This window comes from Homo sapiens, chromosome 1 (genome assembly GCF_000001405.40).
Source record: "Homo sapiens chromosome 1, GRCh38.p14 Primary Assembly".
Classification (NCBI taxonomy): Eukaryota; Metazoa; Chordata; class Mammalia; order Primates; family Hominidae; genus Homo; species Homo sapiens.
In genome coordinates this window covers 219,937,414-219,962,651 of record NC_000001.11, presented here as the reverse complement: position 1 = coordinate 219,962,651, position 25,238 = coordinate 219,937,414, and the positions used below count along the sequence as shown (strand labels likewise).

Genomic DNA, 25,238 nt, shown 5'->3' with positions numbered 1-25,238 from the left:
TCTCTGTCACCCAGGCTGGAGTTTACTGGCACAATCATAGCTCACTGCAGCCTCAAACTTTTGGGCTCAAGCAATCCTCCCATCTACTTGTCTCCCAAGTAACTGGGACAACAGGGAGTGTGCCACCATGCCTGGCTAATTTAAAAAATTTTTTTGTAGATGCAGACTCTTGCTATGTTGCCCAGGCTGATCTTGAATTCTGGGCCTCAAGCAATCTTCCCACTTTGGCCTCCCAAAATGTTGGGGTTACAGATGCACACCATCACGCCTGGCTTAAAAATTCTTGATAATTGGCTGGGCATGGTGGCTTACACCTGTAGTCGCAGCACTTTGAGAGGCCAAGGCAGGCAGATCACTTGAGGCCAGGAGTTCCAGACCAGCCTGGGCAACATGGTGGAACCCTGTGTCTGCTAAAAATACAAAAATTAGCTGGGCATGGTGGCTCATGCCTGGAGTCCCAGCTACTTGGCAGGCTGAGGCACAAGAATCACTTGAAACCAGGAGGTAGAGGTTGCAGTGAGCAGAGATCATTCCACTGCACTCCAGACGGGGCGATAGAGCATGACTATCTCAAAAAAATAAAACATTCTTGATAATTTTTGAACAATGGAACCTGCTTTTCCATTTTGCAGTAGAACCCATGAATTATGTAGCCAGTCCTGCCTGGGTGTTTCCACTTTACACCTAGTCTAAACCACAATCTCATCTAGATTATTGCAGTAGCCTCCTAACTGGTCTCTCTGCTTTCATGTGATCTCAAACACATACAGCGATTCCTTTAAAACATATACAGGACCTCCTCATTCTTCTGCTCAGTATTCTCCCATCTCCAGGCCCCACATGATCTGCCCCTGCTCCACACTTCTCTGGCTTTGTCTCCTCTTTCTCATCCTCGCCATTACTCCTCTCCAGCCCTGCTGACCTCTTTGGTGTCCCTTGAATTCCCATGCGCATTGTTCCTTCTGCCCAGAAAGATCTTCCTTCAGATGTCTGTGTGGTTTAGTTTCTTACCTCCTTCAGATCTTTATTCGAAGAACATTTTAGTAAATTCTTCCCTGATCATTTTATTTAAAATTTAAAATTTAAATTTATTTAAAATTTATTTAAAATTCTTCCCTGACCATTTTCTTTAAAATTACAATCCATCCCTATCTCTTTCCCCTGCTTTATGTGTCATCATACTTATCACCATTTAATATTCAATACATTTCATAATTTATTTTGTTAATCATTTATCTCCTCCCATCAATCACTAGAATACAAGCTTCATAAGGGCAGAGATTTTTGCCTGTTTTGTTGGCTGCTGTCTCTCTGGAGCCTAGAACTCTGTCCAGCATGTCGGCACTCAGTAAGTATTTGTGGCATGAATGGATGAAAGAGCTAGTCTTAGAGCAATAATTTTCACAATATGGTTGTATTGGAAGTCTGTCAGAATATTAACTGAATTGGAGATAATTTATGAGATACTATGGAAGCTGTTAGGGCTACTGTCTAAATTATCAGGTTTTAGTCAAAGTCAGACTATTAGCCAGTGTTCTCCAGAGAAACAGAACCAATGAGAATGTGTATGCATGGTACACAGATAGTTTTTTATATATATATATATTTATATATTATATATATTTATATATATTTATATATATATTTATATATATTTATATATATATTTATATATATTTATATATATATTTATATGTATTTATATATATATTTATATATATTTATATATATATTTACATATATATTTATATATATTTATATATTAATATATATATTTATATATTAATATATATTAATATATATATTAATATATATTAATATAGATTTATATATTAATATATATTAATATAGATTTATATATTAATATATATATTTATATATATTTATATATATTTATATATATTTATATATATTTATATATATATTTATATATATATTTATATATTTATATATATTTATATATATTATATATTTCTATATATATTTATATATATTTATATATATTTCTATATTTATATATATTTATATATATTTCTATATATATTTCTATATATTTCTATATATATTTATATATATTTCTATATATATTTCTATATATATTTATATATATTTATATATATTTATATATTTATATATATTTATTTACATATTTATATATATATTTATATATTTATATATATTTATATATTTATTTATATATATTTATATATATTTATATATATTTATATATATTTATATATATATTTATATATATTTATATATATATTTATATATTCATATATATTTATATATATTTATATATTCATATATATTTATATATTTATATATTTATATATATTTATATATATATTTATATATATTTATATATATGTTTATATATATTTATATATATGTTTATATATATATATAAAGAAATGTATTATAAAGAATTATTTCACATGATTAAAAGACTAAGAAGTCCCAAGATTGATGGTGAATCAGTAGGCAAGAGACCCAGGAGAGCCGATGGTGTAGCCCAAATCAAAGACCCACACGCTCAAGACCCAGGAAGAGTCCATGTTTCAGTTTGAGTCTGAAGGCAGGAAAAAACAAACGTCCCAGGCTGAAGGCAGTCAGGCAGGAAGAGCTACCTCTTATTCAGCATTTTTGTTCTCCTCAGGCTTCAACTGATTGGAGGAGGCCCACCCACATTAGTGAGGGCAATCTCCTTCATTCACTCTGCTGATCCAACTGTTAATTTCATCCAGAAACACACTCACAGACAAAGCCAGAAAGTCTTGCATGTCATTGACCAAATGACCAGTCAAGTTGACATACAAAATTAACATCACATCTGGGAGAAATAGAGATTGTAATATCACTCTGTGTTTCTTTAAAATATTGACAGTAGTCAGGCTGCTCACAATAGAGGCCACTGCTGTTTCAGTCATTTTGGAACTGATAGGCCTTTAAGGGCTATGAGTGTTTGACAGATAACATTTTTTAAAAATAAAAACAAAAACTTCCTTGCATCAGTGAAATCATTATTACCTGTCTGTCTTCCTGGAAACTAACTGGAATTATGTCTTCAGCTCTTCCAGTTTAAAGATTTCCTGAATATGAGGAATATTTCTTTTGTCTTATAGAGAATGTTTGGAAGTAGGGTGACCCCTCGAATATTCCCTACTTCACACAGTAAATGACATTCAGAACTGCACACCAGGTGGACAAGATGTAATTGCTTATGTCAAATGACTTGCTTCACCTGAGCTGTTTCTGCACACACGGAGCATGGAAGCTGGAAAGGCCACCGCCACTGATGAGCTTCTACATGACTCAAGGACACAGAAGCTCTTGACGTCTGTAATTAAACACACACATGCACAAACAAAACAGTCTCTCAAGTCCATATCTGAAGCCAGTGTCTTGTATTTCCATAAATCCTGGCTCATGTGACATCTCTTGCTTAATTGCCCTTTAAACTGTTTTATGGCTTTATAGCAACCTATAAAAGGTGATTTCCAAATATGACAAGCGCCGGAGGGCTGAAGGGAAGAGTTACCCAGGAGTTGTAATCACTGAATCTATAGCTGCTTCCCTAGCAGCTCAGCCTTCCCAAGAAAGGGAGAGGAACTGCCAGGGCACCGAGACGCCATGGGGCGATACTCCGGAAGAAGCTTCCGTTTAATCCTCATGTGCGTCGTTAGCATCCTCCTCTTTGTGATGGAACTAGTGATCGCTTACGTTGGCAACTCCCTCTCCTTGGCCTCCGATGCTTTTGCCGTCCTTTCCCACTTTGTGTCCATGATCATAGGTTTTTTTGGTGTAAGGGCCAGTAACATAAAACAGCACAAGAAGAGCACTTACGGCTTTCTTCGGGCAGATGTTGTGGGAGCATTTGGGAACACCATTTTTGCGGTGGCGCTGATGTTCAGCATCCTGGTTGAAGCCATCAAAAGGTACATCAATCCCCAGAAGACAGAGGAGCCGATACTGGTTCTCAGTGCTGGAATTATCGGTCTGTTCTTCAATGTTCTTAACTATGTCATCTTCTTGGACTGCTGTTACTGCGCAGCACCCAAGCCCCAGGGAGACATGGAAGCAGGTAAATAGCTACTCAGAGGGTGGCAGTAAATTTGGTGAGAGTCCTGGCAGGTGCTGTCTGAGGGGGCCTTTGTGGTGCTATCCAAAGGGGCCCGAGTCTTTGGGTCAGCCTTTTGTCCCTGTGATTTTACAATCGACCTTTCTCAGAAGAGTTGCCTTTAGTTTGAGGTTCCTTGTGAGTAGGGTAGCAGCAGTTTGCTTCAATGTTGGGAGGACTTCTCGAATTTTTACTCACAGGGAATGAAAAAGTGTCTTCAGGCACGCAGAGAGGAAGTAAAGGCACTAATCGTAGCCACAGAGAGAGCGATTGGAAAGACGGTGGATGTGGCAGTCTTCTTTAAGTGATTCACTGTTGTTTACCCATATGTGACATGGCTATGTTTGAATTTAAAAAAAAGTTAATGTCTCCATAAAATATGTTTAAAAGTACTGGGCTACATAACCAACTTACAAAGAGCACAGTATCAGACAATCAGGTACGCTGATTAACTGTTAGGAATATATTTGAGGAATGGTATGTAAAATGGCGAGAGAAAAAATAAAGAAGATAGTCCAGTAAATGGGCTAGTTTTTGAAAGGAAAATTTGCACTTATTTATTGCATACGTCTGTTCTGTTTGAGAAACAGGACAATTTACATGTGAATCTTTAGGAGAGACTTAAGTGTGAGTACCAAACTTATTAGATTATCTGTCAAAAGAATGGAATTAAATCTTGGAAGAGAACAATATATCTATAAGATGCTTTTTTTTTAAGATGGAATCATGTTTCTTTAATTTATTGCCACAAGAGGTGTTTGTAAGTATATATGTATCAGAAAGTTCTTACAGAAGAGAAATTTTTAGTGCTTTTATAAAAGAAGTCATATAGCATGAATAGATTCAAATTATGGTTCCAGCACAGGGCAATAGTCAACTTACTTCACCTAGCATGTTTCTCTACCTGTAATATGGAGTTAATAAGGACTGAGAGAAATGCTAAGTAACTTATTTAGTATTTAGTAGGCACTTGATAAATATAAATTATTTTCGAAATCACAATGCAAGCCTTTAAACTACATGGCAATCCGGTATTTAATTCTAATAGCTCATATGAATTTTTAAAAATTTCAAATATTTCCTTATTTGATGCTGAAGAGTTTTCTCTCAGTAGCTGGGCCATTATATAACTGAGTATGGGGACCTCAGAGGCTAAGTTGCATTTTTTATTTGATTCCCTGTCTTTGCTACTATGATAAATTACGTCAGTTGGAGCCGGTCCTTTATCCTACCTCTGTGTCGATTTTCCTGTTGGTAGAACATATGTTATGAGAGTATCTGTAGGATGTGGTAAACATAAAAATAAATTAGAAACTAGAGTCTAGATTTTTATTTGAGTTAATGAATCACTGAATTTGGGCCTCATCTTTTGTAAAGGAAAATTCATTGTTAACTTGAGACCCTATGCTATGGCTACACCAATCATCGTGAAAATTACTACTAGAGCTTCCAGATCATGAAATTCACATATTTCATATAAGACAAATATATATTTTTTATTGCTAGGTATAAATTTAAGGCAAGAGAGATGATTTCAAATGATTAGTGTTGACATTACCATTATATTTTTGATTGTCACATAACAGTTCTGATTTTGCCTTCATTCTTGACATACAACATTTACCTGCACATAACAAAAGCAATTTAGGTAAACGGTCTGACTCTGACCAGTATGAAACTTGGTACACACCATAGTTCTATTTTTATAAAATTGAATTATTACTGGATAGGTCTTAGTTAAGCTTTTGTTTGGGAAGTGGTATTTTCCAATGTGTATGTTCATGCTGAGATAACAAGAGGCTTAAGACAAATGTTTCACTCCAACCATATGGGTTTCTTTTTTTTCTTTTCTTCTTTTTTTTTTTTTTAATTTTTATTTTTAGTAGAGACAGGGTTTCGCCATGTTGGCCAGGCTGGTCTCGAACTCTTGAGCTCAAGTGATCCACCTGCTTGGCCTCCCAAAGCACTGGGATTATAGGTGTGTGCCCCAGTGTCTGGTCCAGCCATATGGGTTTCTGCTGGCTTAATTCTAGAGTATCTAGCTTGTTTTGAAGTATTTGATGCTATATAGTGTTCTAGTTTAAATAAGTGATAGGTACAATACACGTGTGACTCACGCTTTAAGATCCATGTTCTATGTTACCATTATTATTTTGGCAGCTTTTGGTGTTGTTAAATTCTTCTATTAGAAATTTTAGGCTGTGTACAGCAGCTCATGCCTGTAATCCTAGACTTGAGGAGACTGAGGCAGGAGGATCACTTGAGCCCAGAAGTTTGAGGCTGCAGTGAGCTATGATCACACCACTGCACTTCAGCCAGGGTGACAGAGTGAGACCCTGTCACTAAAAAAGAAGAAAAAAGAAAAAGAAAAGAAATTTTAGTGTTTAAACTTGCCAAATTCCTTTAGGACAGCTGTTTGGCTTGTTAGCATTTATGTCTGCAGTTATGTATCACCTTTTCTGAACCATACATTTTGGTATTCTTCCCATCATCTAAATTGGTTTAAAGAAAAGAATAAATATTGCATCAGACGAACGTCATAAATTGACATTAACCTGATATCAATTGGCTCACATTTTAAGAACAAATATGATTAATCCATCCATATTTATAAAAGGAGTTATAAACTATGAGAGGGAAAGACTCTTGATTTCAAAAGATTCAACCTAAACTTAGGATAAAGAATTTCTGTAAGTCTAGAACCCTAGCTTATAGCACATGGCAGTGCCTATAAAACAACTCCTGGTACCGCCTGGCTTCATGATCAGAATCCAGTAATGTATCACTTCTTTTGTGGAATCTCTAACTAGAGATTTTGCTTAACAAGCCTTCAGTCTCCCCCAGGTTTTGTGGATCTTTTACTTGTTCTGCTTATCTATCTGGTGTAGAAATTGAATTCATAATATTTGATGTTTGAGATCATGGAAAGTAAAAAAAATCAAGACCACTAACTTTAAATTAAATATAATAGAACAAACTATATATAGGTAAGACTTTAAATATCCCTGGGATTCATGAAAAAAGTTATACTGGAGAATCAGACATACAGAACCAGAAAATTTTTAAAACCTGCGAGAAAAGAATGTCTGGAAGATTTAGCTGAGATGAGAAAACTTGGAAGTCTTAGATCCAGATCTAGCCGGTGGGAGGTCACCCCTGACTCTAAAAGGTGTGAGGAAGTTCAGGTGATGGTAGAGCCAGTATTTTTGGCTAAAGTGAGAGGCAAAGTGAAAAAAGTAAAAAATACGAGCATTAAGTAAAAGACAAACAAACAAAATAGGGTTAAAGTCCACAATGGTCGATGGCTTTGTGTGTGCATGTGTTTCGGGGAAGGGAGTAGGGGAAAGGTTGAAGGGGTGGAAACAACATGTAGGTCCAGATCGCAGGAGATACTTGTCACGAGCCAGTTTCTTTCTCTAGGCTTAGGGACTCCTTTTGTTAACGTTTATACGTTTTCCTATTCCTTGCTTACTTTATTTGATTTTCCTTGATTTTCTTGTTATCTTTCATGTTTAAGTCTTATTTTTAGTTATTTTTTCAGACCTGAAGTTTCTTTAGAATCAAGCTACTAAAACCCTCCATGCCCTTGCCTTGTACTGTACGAATAACCTTGCTGTACAGTGGCCTTTATTTTAACCTAAAGGTGACCTTGTACAGCTCACTTTTCTAGTAGGATGGCTTCTGCTCTATTTTGCGTCTTTTTCTGTCTGGGATAGACGGGGCCTGCCATTTATATCATGTACAAATGATACATTTATATCAGAAATATCTGTTAATTATTTTAAAGTATTTTTTTCTTAAAAAAATGCCTTTCCTTTGAATTTAAGTTTTTTTTTTTTTTTTTTTTTTTTGAGATGGAGTCTCACTCTGTTGCCCAGGCTAGAGTGCAGTGGTATGATCTTTGGCTCACTGCAACCTCTGCCTCCTCGGTTCAAGCAATTCTCGTGCCTCGGCCTCCCAAGTAACTGGGATTACAGGCGTGCGCCACTATGCCCAGCTAATTTTTGTATTTTTAGTAGAAATGGGGTGTCACCATGTTGGCCAGGCTGGTCTTGAACTCCTGGCCTCAAGTGATCCACCCGCCTCAGCCTCCCAAAGTGCTGGGATTACAGGTGTGAACCACTGTGCCCGGCTAAGTTTTGTTTTGATTCCAAATTGTGCTTGCTTTCTCTCTCTCTCCTTCTGTTTCTCATAATCACGGTTCTGGCATTATGTTTCTCCAACCAACTCGCTAGAGGCAGTGACAGCACAGCATCCAGCAAAGTGTATTGTTGCAGAAGGTTTTAACACACTGCTGATTAGTTGCTCATGCAAGCTTCTAGTTAAGACTCAGTACTATAGCCTGACATGGGCTTTTCACGTGGACAGTCCTGTAGCCGCTGAAACAAGTCAGGTTTCCTTTTGTCATAGAGGAAATTTTATTCAGTGACAAGCAGAGTAGGCAAGGCCAAGAATTTTAGGAGAGGCAAAGGGGAATTTGCTGTCTCTCTACCAGTAGCAAATACTATGGAGTAAATAAAATTTGAGGCCGGGCGCGGTGGCTCACGCCTGTAATCCCAGCACTTTGGGAGGCTGAGGCGGGCAGATCATGAGGTCAGGAGATCGAGACCATCCTGCCTAACACGGTGAAACCCCATCTCTACTAAATATACAAAAAATTAGCCGGGCGTGGTGGCAGGCGCCTGTAGTCCCAGCTACTCGGGAGGCTGAGGCAAGAGAATGGTGTGAACCCAGGAGGTGGAGCTTGCAGTGAGCCGAGATCGGGCCACTGCACTCCAGCCTGGGCAACAGAGCAAGACTCAGTCTCAAAAATAAAATAAAATAAAATAAAATAAAATAAAATAAAATAAAATAAAATAAAATAAAATTTGAGAAGCTGCATAATTGAAGGTAGCTTTTCTTTCTTTCTTTTCTTTTTCTTTTTTTTTTGAGACGGAGTCTCACTCTGTCACCCAGTCTGGAGTGCAGTGGCACAGTCTCGGGCTCACGATAACCTCTGCCTCCCTGGTCCAAGCAATTCTCCTGCTCCTGCCTCAGCCTCCCGAGTAGGTGGGATTACAGGCTTGTGCCACCACACCCGGCTAATTTTTTGTATTTTTAGTAGAGACGGAGTTTCACCGTGTTAGCCAGGATGGTCTCGATCTCCTGACCTCATGATCTGCCCGCCTCGGCCTCCCAAAGTGCTGGGATTACAGGCATGAGCCACCGTGCCCGGCCTGAAGGTGGCTTTTCAAACTAGAAAAGGGAAGGTTTTCTAGGCATAGGTTACCTGAGTTCCCTTTCTAGATCGGAGGCAGAATGGTAATGATTGGGAATTTGTGATAATTATTAAATAATTTAAAGAAACATGATGCTTAATTCCCACCAGCTTTACTTTGCATTTTGTCTATATCTGACAGTAACCATTGTTTTCCAAGCACTGTCACAGCTGTTGATCAATTAACTTCCACATGAGGATTCGGTGATAAGAATGCACACACCACAGATCACAGTATCTGTCCCATGGTAGAGACCTAATAAATTCCCTCACAGCTCTTTTGCTACGTTCCTGACAGCTTACCTAACCTCTTACTTCTCTTGTTGTCCCGTGAAGGGGTCTGGATTAGTTACGGGGAGTAAATAAGAAAGATTAAAGGAAGATAGAAAAATAGGTGCTATTTCACATTTGTGAAACCAAATTCAACTGAAGAAAAAAGAAGTTAAAGAGACCATCTCTTTGTTCTTAGTAATTTTTTTTTCCAATGTGCAGAGGCTGCTATGACTGATATCAGGTAAATTTTAATGAAAAATGAGTTTATATTGACATCTGTGCATTGTCAGTCTTTGTCAGAGTATAGAGAGAATAATTAACAGCATCATATCACATACATTTGAAGAACTGTACAAAATAATTAGCTAGAGAGAATACTTGCTATTTATTTCCATTGTTTAGACAAGGAAAACAGGTTCAGACAAATTCCACAATCATACAGCTAGTTAATAGTAGGGTACAAAGAAATTAAAACTTTGAGTCCAGGCCCTTAATTAAAGACTCTACTCTACTTGGCTCCCCTCAGAGAGGAAAACAGTTATGGACTGTGGAAAGTTATTTGGCAATAATCACAAAAGGGCATATTAAAATGTGCAAATGAACATACCATAAGTTGAATCCTAATTCCAGTAGCTAGATGACCTCCAAAAAGTCACTTAAACTTTCTAAACCTCAGTTTCTTCATCTGTAAATCTGGTAATATCTGTCTCTTAGAGATGTTGCAAGAATGAAATTATATTATTTGTGTAAAGTACTCAACACAGTACTTGGAATACACTGAACACTCAATAAATGGTAACATTGGTGGTGGTGGTGGTGGCTGGTAGTGATTGTCCAAGGGCTGAAGGGAAGAGGAACTAATGAAATATTAGTAAGATCCCTTGGCAGACAAGGTCTCTGCTCTATTTCACATCCACAAACTGGCAGGCCACCTTATCCTTGCCAAGACTCTTATTATTGTTAATCATATATATGGTTACAGCAGATCCATCACTATTTCTACAAACCGTACAAAACATGTGTTGTTTTGATGATGGGTTAGTGGCATCTCTTGTGGGATGAACCAGAAGGAGCATAGACCAGTAACAAAAATATATATTTCAGCTGGGCACAATGTTCATGCCTGTAATCCCAGCACTTTGGGAGGCCAAGACAGGAGGATAGCTTGGACCCAGGAGTTTGAGGTTGCAAAGAGCTATGATAGCATGCCATTACACTCCAACCTGGGTGACAGACCAAGTCCCTGTTTCTTTCCTTTTCTTTTCTTTTCTTTTTTTTTTTGAGATGGAGTCTCACTCTGTCGTCCAGGCTGGAGTGCAGTGGCGCGATCTTGGCTCACTGCAAGCTCCGCCTCCTGGGTTCACGCCATTCTCCTGCCTCAGCCTCCCGAGTAGCTGGGACTACAGGCACCCGCCACCACACCCGGCTAATTTTTTGTATTTTTAGTAGAGACGGGGTTTCACCATGTTAGCCAGGATGGTCTCGATCTCCTGACCTCGTGATCCACACGCCTCGGCCTCCCAAAGTGCTGGGATTACAGGCGTGAGCCACCGCGCCCGGCCCCCAAGTCCCTGTTTCTAAAAGTAAATAAATAACTACACAATAAATTAACTTAAAAAAAGAAAAATACATGTTCTGGAACGTCCTCCCTCATCCACTGGTTCTGACACTGGAAAAGATACTTAAGCACTTTGAGCCTCATCTTAGGTATCATTACACCTATTTTAAAGAATCACTCTACAGCCAGGGGCGGTGGCTCACACCTGTAATCCCAGCACTTTGGGAGGCTGAAGTGGGTGGATTGCTTGAGCCCAGGAGTTTGAGACCAGCCTCGGCAACATAGCGAGGACTCACCTCTACAAAAATAAGAAAAATTAGCCAGATGTGGTGGTGCGTGCCTATAGTTCCAGCTACTTGGGAAGCTGAGGTGGGAGGATCACCTGAGCCTGAGGACAGATGCACCTTCTTATCAAGGCTGCAGTGAGCCATAAGAATCTGTTTTTCTTTTGACAAATAACAACACCTTCATGGTGTGTTTTATTTATTTATTTTTGAGACGGAGTTTTGCTCTTGTCACCTAGGTTGGAGTGCAATGGCATGATCTCAGCTCACTGCAACCTCTACCTCCTAGGTTTAAACCATTCTCCTGCCTCAGCCTTCTGAGTAGCTGGGATTACAGGCGCCCGCCACCACGCCTGGCTAATTTTTGTGTTTTTTAGTAGAGATGGGGTTTCATGTTGGCTAGGCTGGTCTCAAACTCCTGACCTCAGGTGATCCACCTGTCTCGGCCTCCCAAAGTACCGGGATCATGGGCATGAGCCAACACGCCCAGCCTATGTGTTATTTATTTATTTATTTATTTTTAGACAGAGTCTTCCTCTGTTGCCCAGGCTGGAGTGCAGTGGCACGATCTTGGCTCACTGTAAACTCTGCCTCCCGGGTTCACACCATTCTCCTGCCTCAGCCTCCCCAGTAGCTGGGACTACAGGCACCCGCCACCATGCCTGGCTAATTTTTTGTATTTTTAGTAGAGATGGGGTTTCACTGTGTTAGCCAGGATGGTCTCGATCTCCTGACTTCGTGATCCACCCACCTCGGCCTCCCAAAGTGCTGGGATTACAGGCATGAGCCACCGCGCCCAGCCAGATTTTTAAGAAGGCTCTTGTAAATGTTAGCTTCCCCATCTTTCAGTGCTCAAGATGGCATTTTGTAGCAGGCCATTACTTGTACTTTTAAAACTACATATTTTAAACTGCTTTAATGGTAATGCAATGTCAATATGTAGCTCATTGAAATAATGCAAATGTGGCTCATATACTAGACTGTAATTTCCAAGATACAGATGAAGAAACTGAGGCATCAACCGTTTTATGGCTAACCCAAAGTTGATGTTAGAGCTGGACTTTGTATTACTGCACCTCTCTTCTGTCAACAGATAGTTTGCCTCTTGAATATTTTCCTGCAGTCCTGTCTAGTGAATAATGATACTCCCCATTTTCTTTGCTGAGAAGCTTGATTTTTCAGGAAGGTAGGGTGAAAGTAAGCTTATTATTTTGGTTTTCTTATTGGCTAGCTGTTTACAAGATGGAGACATTATATTTCTAATTTTTTGCCTCTTTCTTGTTCTTTTGATGGAGACAATAGTCATTGTGGCTTTTTGAAAACATTGTGTACAACTGTCTCTGATGATTATGAAATACACCAATTTTTCTTTTTTTATTTTTATTTTTATTTTATTTTATTTTATTATTATTATACTTTAAGTTTTAGGGTACATGTGCACAATGTGCAGGTTAGTTACATATGTATACATGTGTCGTGCTGGTGTGCTGCACCCATTAACTCGTCATCTAGCATTAGGTATATCTCCTAAAGCTATCCCTTCCCGCTCCCCCCAACAGTCCCCAGAATGTGATGTTCCCCTTCCTGTGTCCATGTATTCTCATTGTTCAATTCCCACCTATGAGTGAGAATATGCGGTGTTTGGTTTTTTGTTCTTGCGATAGTTTACTGAGAATGATGGTTTCCAATTTCATTCATGTCCCTACAAAGGACATGAACTCATCATTTTTTATGGCTGTATAGTATTCCATGGTGTACATGTGCCACATTTTCTTAATCCAGTCTATCATTGTTGGACATTTGGGTTGGTTCCAAGTCTTTGCTATTGTGAATAGTGCCGCAATAAACATACGTGTGCATGTGTCTTTATAGCAGCATGATTTATAGTCCTTTGGGTATATACCCAGTAATGGGATGGCTGGGTCAAATGGTATTTCTAGTTCTAGATCCCTGAGGAATCACCATGCTGACTTCCACAAGGGTTGAACTAGTTTACAGTCCCACCAACAGTGTAAAAGTGTTCCTATCTCCACATCCTCTCCAGCACCTGTTGTTTCCTGACTTTTTAATGATTGCCATTCTAACTGGTGTGAGATGGTATCTCATTGTGGTTTTGATTTGCATTTCTCTGATGGCCAGTGATGGTGAGCATTTTTTCATGTGTTTTTTGGCTGCATAAATGTCTTCTTTTGAGAAGTGTCTGTTCATGTCCTTCGCCCACTTTTTGATGGGGTTGTTTTTTTCTTGTAAATTTGTTAGAGTTTTTTGTAGATTCTGGATATTAGCCCTTTGTCACATGAGTAGGTTGCGAAAATTTTCTCCCATTTTGTAGGTTGCCTGTTCACTCTGATGGTAGTTTCTTTTGCGGTGCAGAAGCTCTTTAGTTTAATTAGATCCCATTTGTCAATTTTGGCTTTTGTTGCCATTGCTTTTGGTGTTTTAGACATGAAGTCCTTGCTCATGCCTATGTCCTTAATGGTAATGCATAGGTTTTCTTCTAGGGTTTTTGTGGTTTTAGGTCTAACGTTTAAGTCTTTAATCCATCTTGAATTAATTTTTGTATAAGGTGTAAGGAAGGGATCCAGTTTCAGCTTTCTACATATGGCTAGCCAGTTTTCCCAGCACCATTTATTAAATAGGGAATCTTTTCCCCATTGCTTGTTTTTCTCAGGTTTGTCAAAAATCAGATAGTTGTAGATACGTGGCATTATTTCTGAGGGCTCTGTTCTGTTCCATTGATCTATATCTCTGTTTTGGTACCAGTACCATGCTGTTTTGGTTACTGTAGCCTTGTAGTATAGTTTGAAGTCAGGTAATGTGATGCCTCCAGCTTTGTTCTTTTGGCTTAGGATTGACTTGGCGATGCGGGCTCTTTTTTGGTTCCATATGAACTTTAAAGTAGTTTTTTCCAATTCTGTGAAGAAAGTCATTGGTAGCTTGATGGGGATGGCATTGAATCTATAAATTACCTTGGGCAGTATGGCCATTTTCATGATATTGATTCTTCCTACCCATGAGCATGGAATGTTCTTCCATTTGTTTGTATCCTCTTTTATTTCATTGAGCAGTGGTTTGTAGTTCTCCTTGAAGAGATCCTTCACGTCCCTTGTAAGTTGGATTCCTAGGTATTTTATTCTCTTTGAAGCAATTGTGAATGGGAGTTCACTCATGATTTGGCTCTCTGTTTGTCTGTTATTGGTGTATAAGAATGCTTGTGATTTTTGTACATTGATTTTGTATCCTGAAACTTTGCTGAAGTTGCTTATCAGCTTAAGGAGATTTTGGGCTGAGACAATGGGGTTTTTATTTTTATTTATTTATTTTTGAGACGGAGTTTCTCTCTTATTGGTTGCCCAGGCTGGAGTGCAATGGTGTGATCTTGGCTCACTGCAACCTCTGCCCCCCGGGTTCAAGTGATTCTCCTGCCTTGGCCTCCCAAGTAGCTGGGATTACAGGCGTGATTACAGGTGTGAGCCACCACACCTGGCCTCATTGTTTTTTAATGAGAGGCAATAATATCTGGAGATTCCCTGTCCTTAGAATGTTTTCCATAGTCCATGTCCTGATATATACTGTCTGCACCTGAATAGGTGTCTTTAGAGAATTTTGAGGAGGTAATTTTTTTTTGAGACAGGATCTTGCTCTGTCACCCAGGCCAGAGTGCAGTGGCATGACCACAGCTCACAGCAGCCTCAACCTCCCAGGCTCAAGCGATCCTCCCATCTCAGCCTCTTAAGTAGCCAAGACCACAGGTGCCTGCCAACCATACCCAACCATTATTTTTCATTTTTTTGTAGAGATGGGGGTCTTACCATGTTGCCCAAGCTGATCTCGAACTCCTGCCCTCAAGCAATCCTTCCACCTTGGCCTCGCAAAATCCTAGGATCACAGGCATGAGCCATTGCACCCTGAGGATGTAGTTTTTGATAAAGTATACCTATGCTCTTGTTCTTCATCTGCCATGAGATCTTTAAAAATGTATCAGCTTAATAGGAAATAAAATAAAGATGATCCTTACATCAGGTCAATGGGAGGTAGGGGCTGGCTCCTTACAAAGGAACAGCAGAGAAGTCAGGTTGAAGGGGCAACTGGCTGAATGGACCATCTGTTTTCTGTAGAATTCTTTACCTGAAGAAACTCTCTTAAGGTCATGAAGGAGAGGAAAGAGGAGAACTAGCAACTAGCTCCACACATGCTGACCAGAGCCAGTTGAGCACATTGTTGGGACTTTTGGGGGCCAATAAACAACTTCATTCATAAATCTGGAACTACTTGAGAAATAAGGAATAAAAGTCCAATAGCAATGAAAATAGTAGCTCAGTGTTTTTGGTAAAAGCTGTTTTGGAGAGTGTAGCTTGGATGTCACAATTGGCTTCCTAATACTAATTCTGTGGAGTAAACTCACCTATCCTCTTACAAGCAGAGCACAACAACTGGAAGAGCAGGGGTGGGCCCAGGAACAGAGAGAATGTGCCTTCTCAGTGGGCAGGCAGTTGGAAGGAGGAAGCCCAGGAAGGGCTGAGCCAGGCTTAATCCATTTCTTCAACCTAACCCGCCAGTGAGAGAAGACCCTTCCACCCTCAGAGTGACTACTTACATGGGGACTGGGGAGGGAATGGAGGCTACACTGGTGGTCGTCTCATGGAAACACAAGACAAGAGGAATGGCAGTCTCCCCCAACACTCTCCAGATTTATGTTCCCTTCACTCCTGGCTCCCCTGGAAGGACTAGATGAACAGTTTATCAGGACTGTACTGCTGCATTTCCATAAAGCTTGTGCTCCCAATATCAACCACTGCTTCCTTTGGATTTCATCCTTTGGAACAGGTTTGGCAATTTAGATACCCTCAATGACTGAAAAGGGTTAGAAGAGTAAGTATACTAGTTAAATTAACTCTGAGGCCCCCAAATGTTCAATATTGCTCATTGGCAATTATATAGTGACACAAAGTGATAGTATCAAGATATGCTAACAATTCAATGTCAGCAATATAAAAATGCCCCAAATTTTAGCAATATGAATCCCTTCCTATTATCAAATTATAACAGAAAATTAAATTTCAAAATTAAATATCTTTGAACTTATGTATTAATAGCCAAAGAAATCAAAACCACTGTTTATTAATCTAAAGGCAAGACCAAAGGCAAGTAAAACCACAAAACCCCCAAGCTTCCTCTTTTGGGCACAGTCTCAGTTTGAGTATAGTTTCATGCCTGGTGGAGTTGGAGTTCCTTCAGCAGTTTCAGTCTGGATTGTTTTCCACTAGAATGGATGCCATTCCTTCAGGGCATCCAAAGTTGCATAAGTTTAGCACCAAGACTTTCATGTTCTCCACCTTTTAAAGATCTTCTCTTTGTCTTTGATGTTCTTCAGTTTTGTAATCATATTTCCATATGTGGACTCTTTTTAAAAAATCCCATCTGGGGATTAAATCCAAGCATTTATGTCTTTCATAAATTCCAGAAGATTTTTCAAACATTATCTCTTCTAGTTTTGGCTTTCCCCTGTTCCTTGTACTTTCTCCTTCTGCAATGCTAATTAGATAATATTTGATCTTATTCTGTCCTCCATGTTTTGTAACTTCTTTTTTCACATTTTGCTGTTTTCACATTTTTGTTGTTCTGTGTTGCATTCTACGTGGTTTTTCAGATTTACCTTCATTTATTTCTAGTTTTTGTTTTTTAACTTCGGTTCTCATTAACCTGCCCATTCAATTTTTTAAAATTTTATTTTGAAATCACTTTATATTCTCAGTAAGTTACAAAAATAGTACATAGAAGTCTCATGTACCCTTTGTCAAGTTTTCCCCAATGGAATGATAGTACAATTTCCAAACCAAGAAATTTACATTCATACAATGAGTTATATAATTCTACGAGATTTTTGTCACAAGTGTAGTTCTGTATAACCATCACCAAAATCATCATTACAAAAATATCCCTCATGGTACCCTTTAGTAGTCATAGCCACCCTTCCTACCTTTACACCCTATCTCTATGCTCTGGAAACTAATAATCTGTTTTCCATCTTTATAATATTTTTATTTCAAGAATGTTAAATAAATGGAATCATACATATGTGACCTTTGAAATGGGCTTTTTTTCTTTCAGCATAATGCTCTTAAGATTAATTTGACTTGTTGCATGTATCAGTTGTTGTTTTTTATTGCTGAAAAGGATTCCATGGTATGGATATAGTTAGATATGTGTTTTAGCCACTCTGCCAGTTTTCTGTCTTTTAAGTGGTGTGTTTAGACAATTTACATTTACGCAATTATTGAAGGTTGGGGCTTGAGACTGCTATTTTACTTTTCATTTTCTGTTTGTTCCTTCTATTTTTTATTTCTCTATTTTCCGTTTCCTGGCTTCTGTGAACATTATTTAGAATTTCATTTTGATTTCCCTGTAGTGCTTTTGAGTATGTCTTTATAGAGCTTTGTTAGTAGTTGCTCTAGGTATTAGATTGCACATACATAACTTATCACTGGCTAATGCTGTCAATACTTTGCTAGTTTGAATAAAATGTAGAAACCTTACCTCCCTTTATCTTTTCCTATTTATAATTGTTATAGTTACACAGGTCCCTGAGACTTATTTTATTCTATTTTCTCTCTGTTGTTCAGATAAAATACTTTCTTTCCTCTGTCTTCCCCATTTCTGCTACTGGGCCCATCCATTTAGTGTTTGTTTTGTTTTGTTTTGTTTTGTTTTTGAGACAGAGTCTTGCTCTGTCACCCAGGCTGGACTGCAGTGGCGCGATCTCGGCTCATTGCAAGCTCCGCCTCCCAGGTTCACACCATTCTCCTGCCTCAGCCTCCTGAGTAGCTGGCACTAAAGGTGCCCACCACCATGCCTGGCTAATTTTTTGTATTTTTTAGTAGAGACGGGGTTTTACCGTGTTAGCCAAGATGGTCTCCATCTCCTGACCTCGTGATCTGCCCGCCTTGGCCTCCCAAAGTGCTGGGATTATAGGCGTAAGCTGTCATGCCCCGCCAGTTTTTTTTTTAATTTTAAAATTTTGTATTCACTGCCAAGAGCCCCATTGAAGGTTTTTTTTTTTTGAGATGAGTCTCACTCTGTCACCCAGGCTGGAGTGCAGTGGCATGATCTCGGCTCACTGCAAACTCCACCTCCTGGGTTCACGCCATTCTCCTACCTCAGCTTCCAGAGTAGCTGGGACTACAGGTGCCCACCACCATGCCCTGCTAATTTTTTATATTTTTTAGTAGAGACGGGGTTTCATCATGTTAGCCAGGATGGTCTCAATCTCCTGACCTTGTGATCCACCCACCTCGGCCTCCCAAAGTGCTGGGATTACAGGTGTGAGCCACCGCGCCTGGCCTCCCATTGAGTTTTTATTTCAGTTATTGTAGTTTTCATTTTTAAAGTTTCTATTTCATTCTTCCTTTTATCTTCTATTTCTTTGCTGAGACTTTCCGTATTTTTATTTGTTTCAAATGTATTTGTAATTGCTTGTTGAAGCATTTGTATGATGTCTACTTTAAAACTGCTTGCCAGAAAATTTGTAACATTTTGCTACCTCAATGTCAGTGTCTTTTTTACACTCAGGTTAAAATTTTCCTGGCTTTGCTATGATGGTAGATTTTCTGTTGAATCCTGGACATTCTGAGTTATGAGGCTGTCAATCTTATTAAATTTTCTGTTTGAGCAGGTCTCCTCTGACACTGTGCTGGTGGAAGGGGTGCTGCTTGTTATTTTAAGATGAGAATGGAAGTCCAAGTTTCCCACTTGGCCTCTGTTGACACCCTGAGATAGGGGGTGCTTCATTAGTGCTGAGCAGGTGCGGGAGATCAGGGTCTCCATTATGACTTCACTGATAGCATCCTGACTAGAAGAAGCAGGGGCACCTTCTATTGAGTTTTTAATTTCAACTAATCTACTTTTCATTTATGATGACTTGTTCTTTACTTATACTTTCCAGTCCTTCCTTTATTCCCTTCTATTAAACATACTTTGTTTATATTATGTATCTGGTATTCTCAACATCTGCAATTTTTGCATGTCTGATTCTGTTTATTATTTTTGCTGCTTCTCTCAAGGTGGTTTACCTTCTCACATTTTGTGTATTTCATGATTATTTTTATTTTTATTTTTGAGACAGAGTCTTGCTCTGTCACTGAGGCTAGAGTGCAGTGGCATGATCTCAGCTCATCGAAACCTCTGCCTCCCGGATTCAAGTGATCCTTGTGCCTCAGCATCCCAAGTAGCCGGGATTACAGGCCCTTGCCACCATGCCTGGCAAATTTTTGTATTTTCAGTAGAGATGGGGTTTTATCATGTTGGCCAGACTGATCTCAAACTCCTGACCTCAAGTGATCCTCCCTCTTCAGCCTCCCAGAATGCTGGGATTCAGGCATGAGCCACCTTGCCCAGCCATTTCATGATTTTTGATTGTGAATTAATGTTCAACAAAGCTTTCTCTGAGGGAATTCTTTGAAGAATAGATTGTTGGTACATTTTTCCAAGAAGATTTGCATTTGCTTCTGTCAGGTGCCTGAGGGCATTACCAACTTGTAAATACTTAAAAAATTGTTTGCCTGAGTTATTATTATTACATACGTAGCATGACTTTAGACTGCATTACCACATGAAGACCACATTATAGTTTCAACTTCCCATGGGAGGTAGTTTTCCCTATGTCCACAACCAAGGCTAACAGATTCAAGTTTCCTTGTTGTCGCCTTTGGGGCAGCGGGTTTTTGTTTGTTTATTTGATTGTTCATTTCATTTTGGTTCAACCTTTGATCAAGGAGTCAAACTTTGTAAGGGGATCTCTGGTCCAACTCTCCATCTCGCATCGATCTCAGTTTTGTCTCTTATAACATCCATGATCATGTGGCTGTCAAAACTCAAGGCTAGAGCATTTGTCTTTATTGGACAGATGCTCTTAAGTCAGATTCTGACTTCAACTTACCTTTCTGGATTTTGACTTTTACTTCATTTTTGGCCTTTGAGTACATTTTTTATTTTCTGCCACACTTTCTGAAGATTTCAAAAAGTCTGAAACCTTATCCCAGAGCTAGAACAGTTATAGGAAAATTTAGATTACCAGAATTTAGCACTTACTATAAACCAGGCCATCTTTATTGCTTTTTATGGCCACAGCAGAGACTCAGAAAGGAAAGAAGTCTTCTTGGTTTTTGCCTCTCAAAGATACCAGCCAGTATCTGCCAGACCTGGCCAGGGCCAAGACCTGGGTACTTAGGTCCACTGGCAGAGCTTTCACAACAGGAGATCGATTATGGCACCAAGTTTTCCTATCTGGTAAACACATGGTATCCTTTCCCAGCGAGTGACATTGAAAACATTCTTGCTTGCTTGCAGAGTTTAGATATGTGCAGCAGTGACATCCTGGGCTGCAGATTTTATTTGTGGTACATTTCCAGTCAGCATGTGAAAGAGATGAGAGAGGGAGAAGGGGAGAGGGGGAGAGAGAGAGAGAGAGAGAGAAAGGGAGAAAGGAAGGGAGGAAGGAAAGGAGGGAGGGAGAGAAGGAAGGAAGGAAGGAATGAAAGAAAGAAGGAAGGAAGGAAGGGAAGAAGAGAGGAAGGCAGAGAGGAAGGGAGGGAGGAAGGAAGGAAGGAAGGAAAGAAGGAAGGAAGGAAGGGAAGAAGAGAGGAAGGCAGAGAGGAAGGGAGGGAGGAAGGAAGGAAGGGAAGGAAGGTCCTTAATTCCATTTCCACTTGAAGCCCCTGCTTTGGGCTCTGTCTACACTTGGGCACCATCTATACTCACTGCTGTGACTGCCTGTAGCTCTAGCACTGCTTAGACCTGTGAATCCTGCTTCTAATCCTGCTGCTCCCTCATGCTCACATTCATCTGAAGTTCAGCCTTAGCAAACTCCTGAGCTGAAGCTGTTTTGAAGGCTTCAAATTTGTCTTGTTGTTTCTGCTTTATGCTCCTCCAAACATTATCTTTCCACAGCTTTTGAAGGTTGCAAGCATATCATTCAACTGAATGTCTCATTCTGAAGTTTGGAACGTGCTTCTCGTGTTTTATTTCCTTCTGTGTTCTCCTTCTCCTCTCAGGAAGGCTCAGTTAGGTTGTTAATGGTTTAATCAAGTTCGTAAGCTGGTCTTTTTCCTTCTCTACCTCCTGTAGGCTGGCATTTTCATTGGACTTTCTTCCTTTTACTTTGTCATGGTTTTCTGGGTCAGATATTTATTATTCAAACAGATTTTTTTCTACTCTCAGTGAGAGAAATGAAGTCAGGGTTTTATGGGTCTGCCAAAGGCAACAGTTGTCCAAACAAATCTGATCAACCCTCACCTCTCTGAGTTAGATAGTCTCACTTGAAAGGCATTTTCCAATTAAACCAAAAATCGACCCAGGCCTGGACTCAAACTATTATTGTCCTGCCTAGATCCCATTCAGTAAGTCTCGGCCTTCCTGTGCCTGTCAGGAGAATCCTACCTTTGTCTGTTTTTTAATCTGTTCACTCAGGACATGGGAAAACCCTGCCCCACAATAACTATTTTGTTTTGAAGCTCATCTAATAATACCCTAAATATTCTATGCCAATATCCATTGTCTTCTCCTCTCTTATAGTTCCAAACTTTATAGACCCTTTGTACGGCTTCCCAATCTTTCACATGGTGGTTCTCCCTTCCAGTTACTCTATAACAAACCATCCCAAATGTACTGGCATAAAATAGCAATTGTTTTATGAACCCAGGGGTTCAGTGGGCTAGAATTTGGAAAGCACACAGTGGGAACAGGCTGTGTGCTTCCACGATGTCTGAGGCCTCAGCTGGGAAGACTCAAAGGCTAGGGGTGACTTGATGGCTTGAGGCTGCAGTCACTTGAAGGCTCATTCACTTATAGGTCTGGCATCCGGGCTGGAAGGTCTCAATGTATAGGACTGCTGGCTGGACCACCTACACGTGACTGCTCCTTGCGTCTTGGCTTCCTTGCACTAGGGTGGTCTCAGGACATTGGGTGTGGTGGCTCAGCGTTTCAAGCATGAGTGCTCCATCAAACAAGGTAGAAGCTCCATTGCCTTTTCTGATTCAACCTTCGAGTCTGTGGATTGCAAGCAAGTGACAAGATGGAAGGAGTGTCAAGCACATAGAGTCGGCCTTTGAATGGAAGGCGTATCAAGGTCACCCTGTAGAAGAACATGTGGACTAGGAGAACGTGGAGTAGAGATATGATTATGGCCATCTTTAGAAAAACAATCTGCCCGGTTTGCCCCTTGGCTATGATTCTCATCACTTCCACATGCAAAAGACTCTCACTCCTCCCTAAGATCCCTAAAATCTCAGTCCATGCGGCATGAGCTCCAAGTCCAGGATCTTGTCACCTTGAATGGGTCCATGGTTAAAGAGGCTCTTCTGGGACAATTCCTCAGATACAGCTCCTTGAGTTATCTTCCTCTTGATTTGGAGATCTGTGAAGTAAAGAAAGAAATGGGCCAGGTGTGGTGGCTCACACCTGTAATCCCAGCACTTTGGCTGGCCGAGGTGGGTGGATCATGAAGTCAGGAGTTCAAGACCAGCCTGGCCAAGATGGTGAAACCCCCTCTCTACTAAAAATACAAAAATCAGCTGGGCGCAGTGGCAGGTGCCTGTAATCCCAGCTACTTGGGAGGCTGAGGCAGGAGAATCACTTGAACCTGGGGGGGTGGAGGTTGCAGCGATCCAAGATAATGGCCACTGCACTGCAGCCTGGGCGACAGAGTGAGACTTGGTCTCAAAGAAAAAAAAAGGAAAAAAAAGAAACCCATGACCTGCCCTCCACACACCCAACACATAATGATAGGACAGTCATGGAATAACTGTTGTATTCCCCAATTGCATTTATTTTGGATGGCATTCACAGCTTTGAGAGGGTAGCTTTTAATAGCTGCCTGGATCTGTATCCCACTGATGGTAGAGGTGCATTCCAAATCCCAGGCAACTATCTGAAATATTGCCTTCCTGCTTCTGAAAGATTTATTTGGTTGCTAGTCCCCAGTCTCATCTAATTCATCCCCCTTTTAAGAGTATTTAGATATGTGGGCATTTTTCTTTTTTGTATCTTTCTAGCCCCAAGAAAGCTCTCCAATCCTCTAACTTAGTCTGCCTGTTGTTTCTGAGAGCAAATTACTCTCTCTCATTTTCTTTGCACAGTAATACTGCAGCATGTAATAAAAATTGCTCTTAAAAACTCATGCTCACTAAGGTCTGTTAAAACAGCCCCATAGCTACGACAGCAGCATTCTTCTGTAGCCAATAAGCTGCTGCGACCTGCCAAGGTTGAAATACTGCCTGACTGCCTGACTCACTCTTACTGAAGCATTAAAACCTGGCAGCTGCTTACCACAGGCTCAATCTCCATGGGTTACTTTGGCCTGTAGATACTCATCTTTATCTTTCTCAAGGTTCCTGCCAACTTACCAATATGTTAGGGCTTCAGGGACACATAAATAATACCCATTTCTTACTCTTCTAGGTTTGGAAGCAATTGATAACATAAGATATGGATGACAGTTGAACATAAAATATTAACCTGATTACTGATATTGAAGGATATGGCTTAGACATGTAGTGGCAAAGAGCTTCCTAATCGTCCACCCCAGAATTAAACTTCCTCACCCAGTCCCAGGCCTCCCTCCACAGGGCAAAACCTGCCCCAGTTAGCTTCTCTCATGTAGCAGGATTGCAGGTCCCTGGGGAAGGCAAATTTGAAAAAGAAGTCCCAGAAGAGGATAGCTGAGCATGCTGCACTCTTTCTCCCAAGCTTACTGGACAGAGAAGTGATCCTGCCTCTGGGAAAAGTCAGGGGAGTGGTAGAAAGATGTCTAGAGTGATGGGCCTTTGGAGGCGCCCTCATGGAAATGTGAAGCTTGGGGGAATGCAGTGTTCCCCTAACACAAATCAAAAACTGCACTGGGCAGCTCCATTGTGAACCATGTAGGCCATCTCCAGAGTGACTTATCCTGATGGGAAGAAGCATATTTTGTTCCATCCCTCAACCCCTTCCCCCACTGTTAGCAGATTTGGATATAAGTGCCCCACTCAAAGATGCATGATAATCAGCAAAGATCCAACATGGTAACTACATAGAGATACTACAAAGAAAAAGTTAAAAAAGGAACCAGCAAAAAAGGCAGAAGAAAAAATACATTGAAGAAAAATAATAATTACCCCAGGTGACAGAAGAAATTTTCAGATAAAACAATGAACATGAACTGTCAGAACTCCGGTGGCTAGGGAAAAGATAACAAACATTACAGAAATGAAACTCATATAGGAAGCAGTGAGGCATAAAATAAGCACCACTGAAAACCATCAGTGAGCTAGAAGACAGGGTGGAGAAATTGATTAAGGAATTATTCTAGTTTTTTGAGACTAAGTCTTGCTCTGTCACCCAGGCTGGAGTTCAGTGTCGCGAGCTCAGTTCGCTGCAACCTCCGCCTCCAGGTTCAAGCGATTCTTGTGCTCAGCCTCCCGAGTAGCTGGGATTAAAGGCACACACCAGCACGCCTGACTAATTTTTGTATTTTTGGTAGAGATGGGGTTTTGCCATGTTGGCAGGCTGGTCTTGAACTCCACACCTCAAGTGATCCGCCCGCCTTGGCATCCCAAAATGTTGGGATTACAGGCGTGAGCCACTGTGCCTGGCCTCATCAAGGAATTTAAAGCAACTGGAAGACAGATAATAGATATGGAAAACAAAGAGCAGACATGCAGCATAATATACACACTAGGTGTTTCCTGATGTAGAAAGCAGACAAGTGCCCCA

General features: G+C 40.1%; 1 protein-coding gene across 1 annotated transcript in view; it reads left to right on the top strand.

Moving 5' to 3' along the window:
• Window positions 3,554-25,238, top strand: part of SLC30A10 (solute carrier family 30 member 10) — a 48,654-nt gene continuing 26,969 nt past the window's right edge. Inside the window, exon 1 of the mRNA NM_001376929.1 lies at window positions 3,554-4,084. Within this exon, the coding sequence (NP_001363858.1) occupies window positions 3,634-4,084 (451 nt within the window). The 5' untranslated portion in view covers window positions 3,554-3,633. The remainder of the gene's footprint in view (window positions 4,085-25,238) is intronic.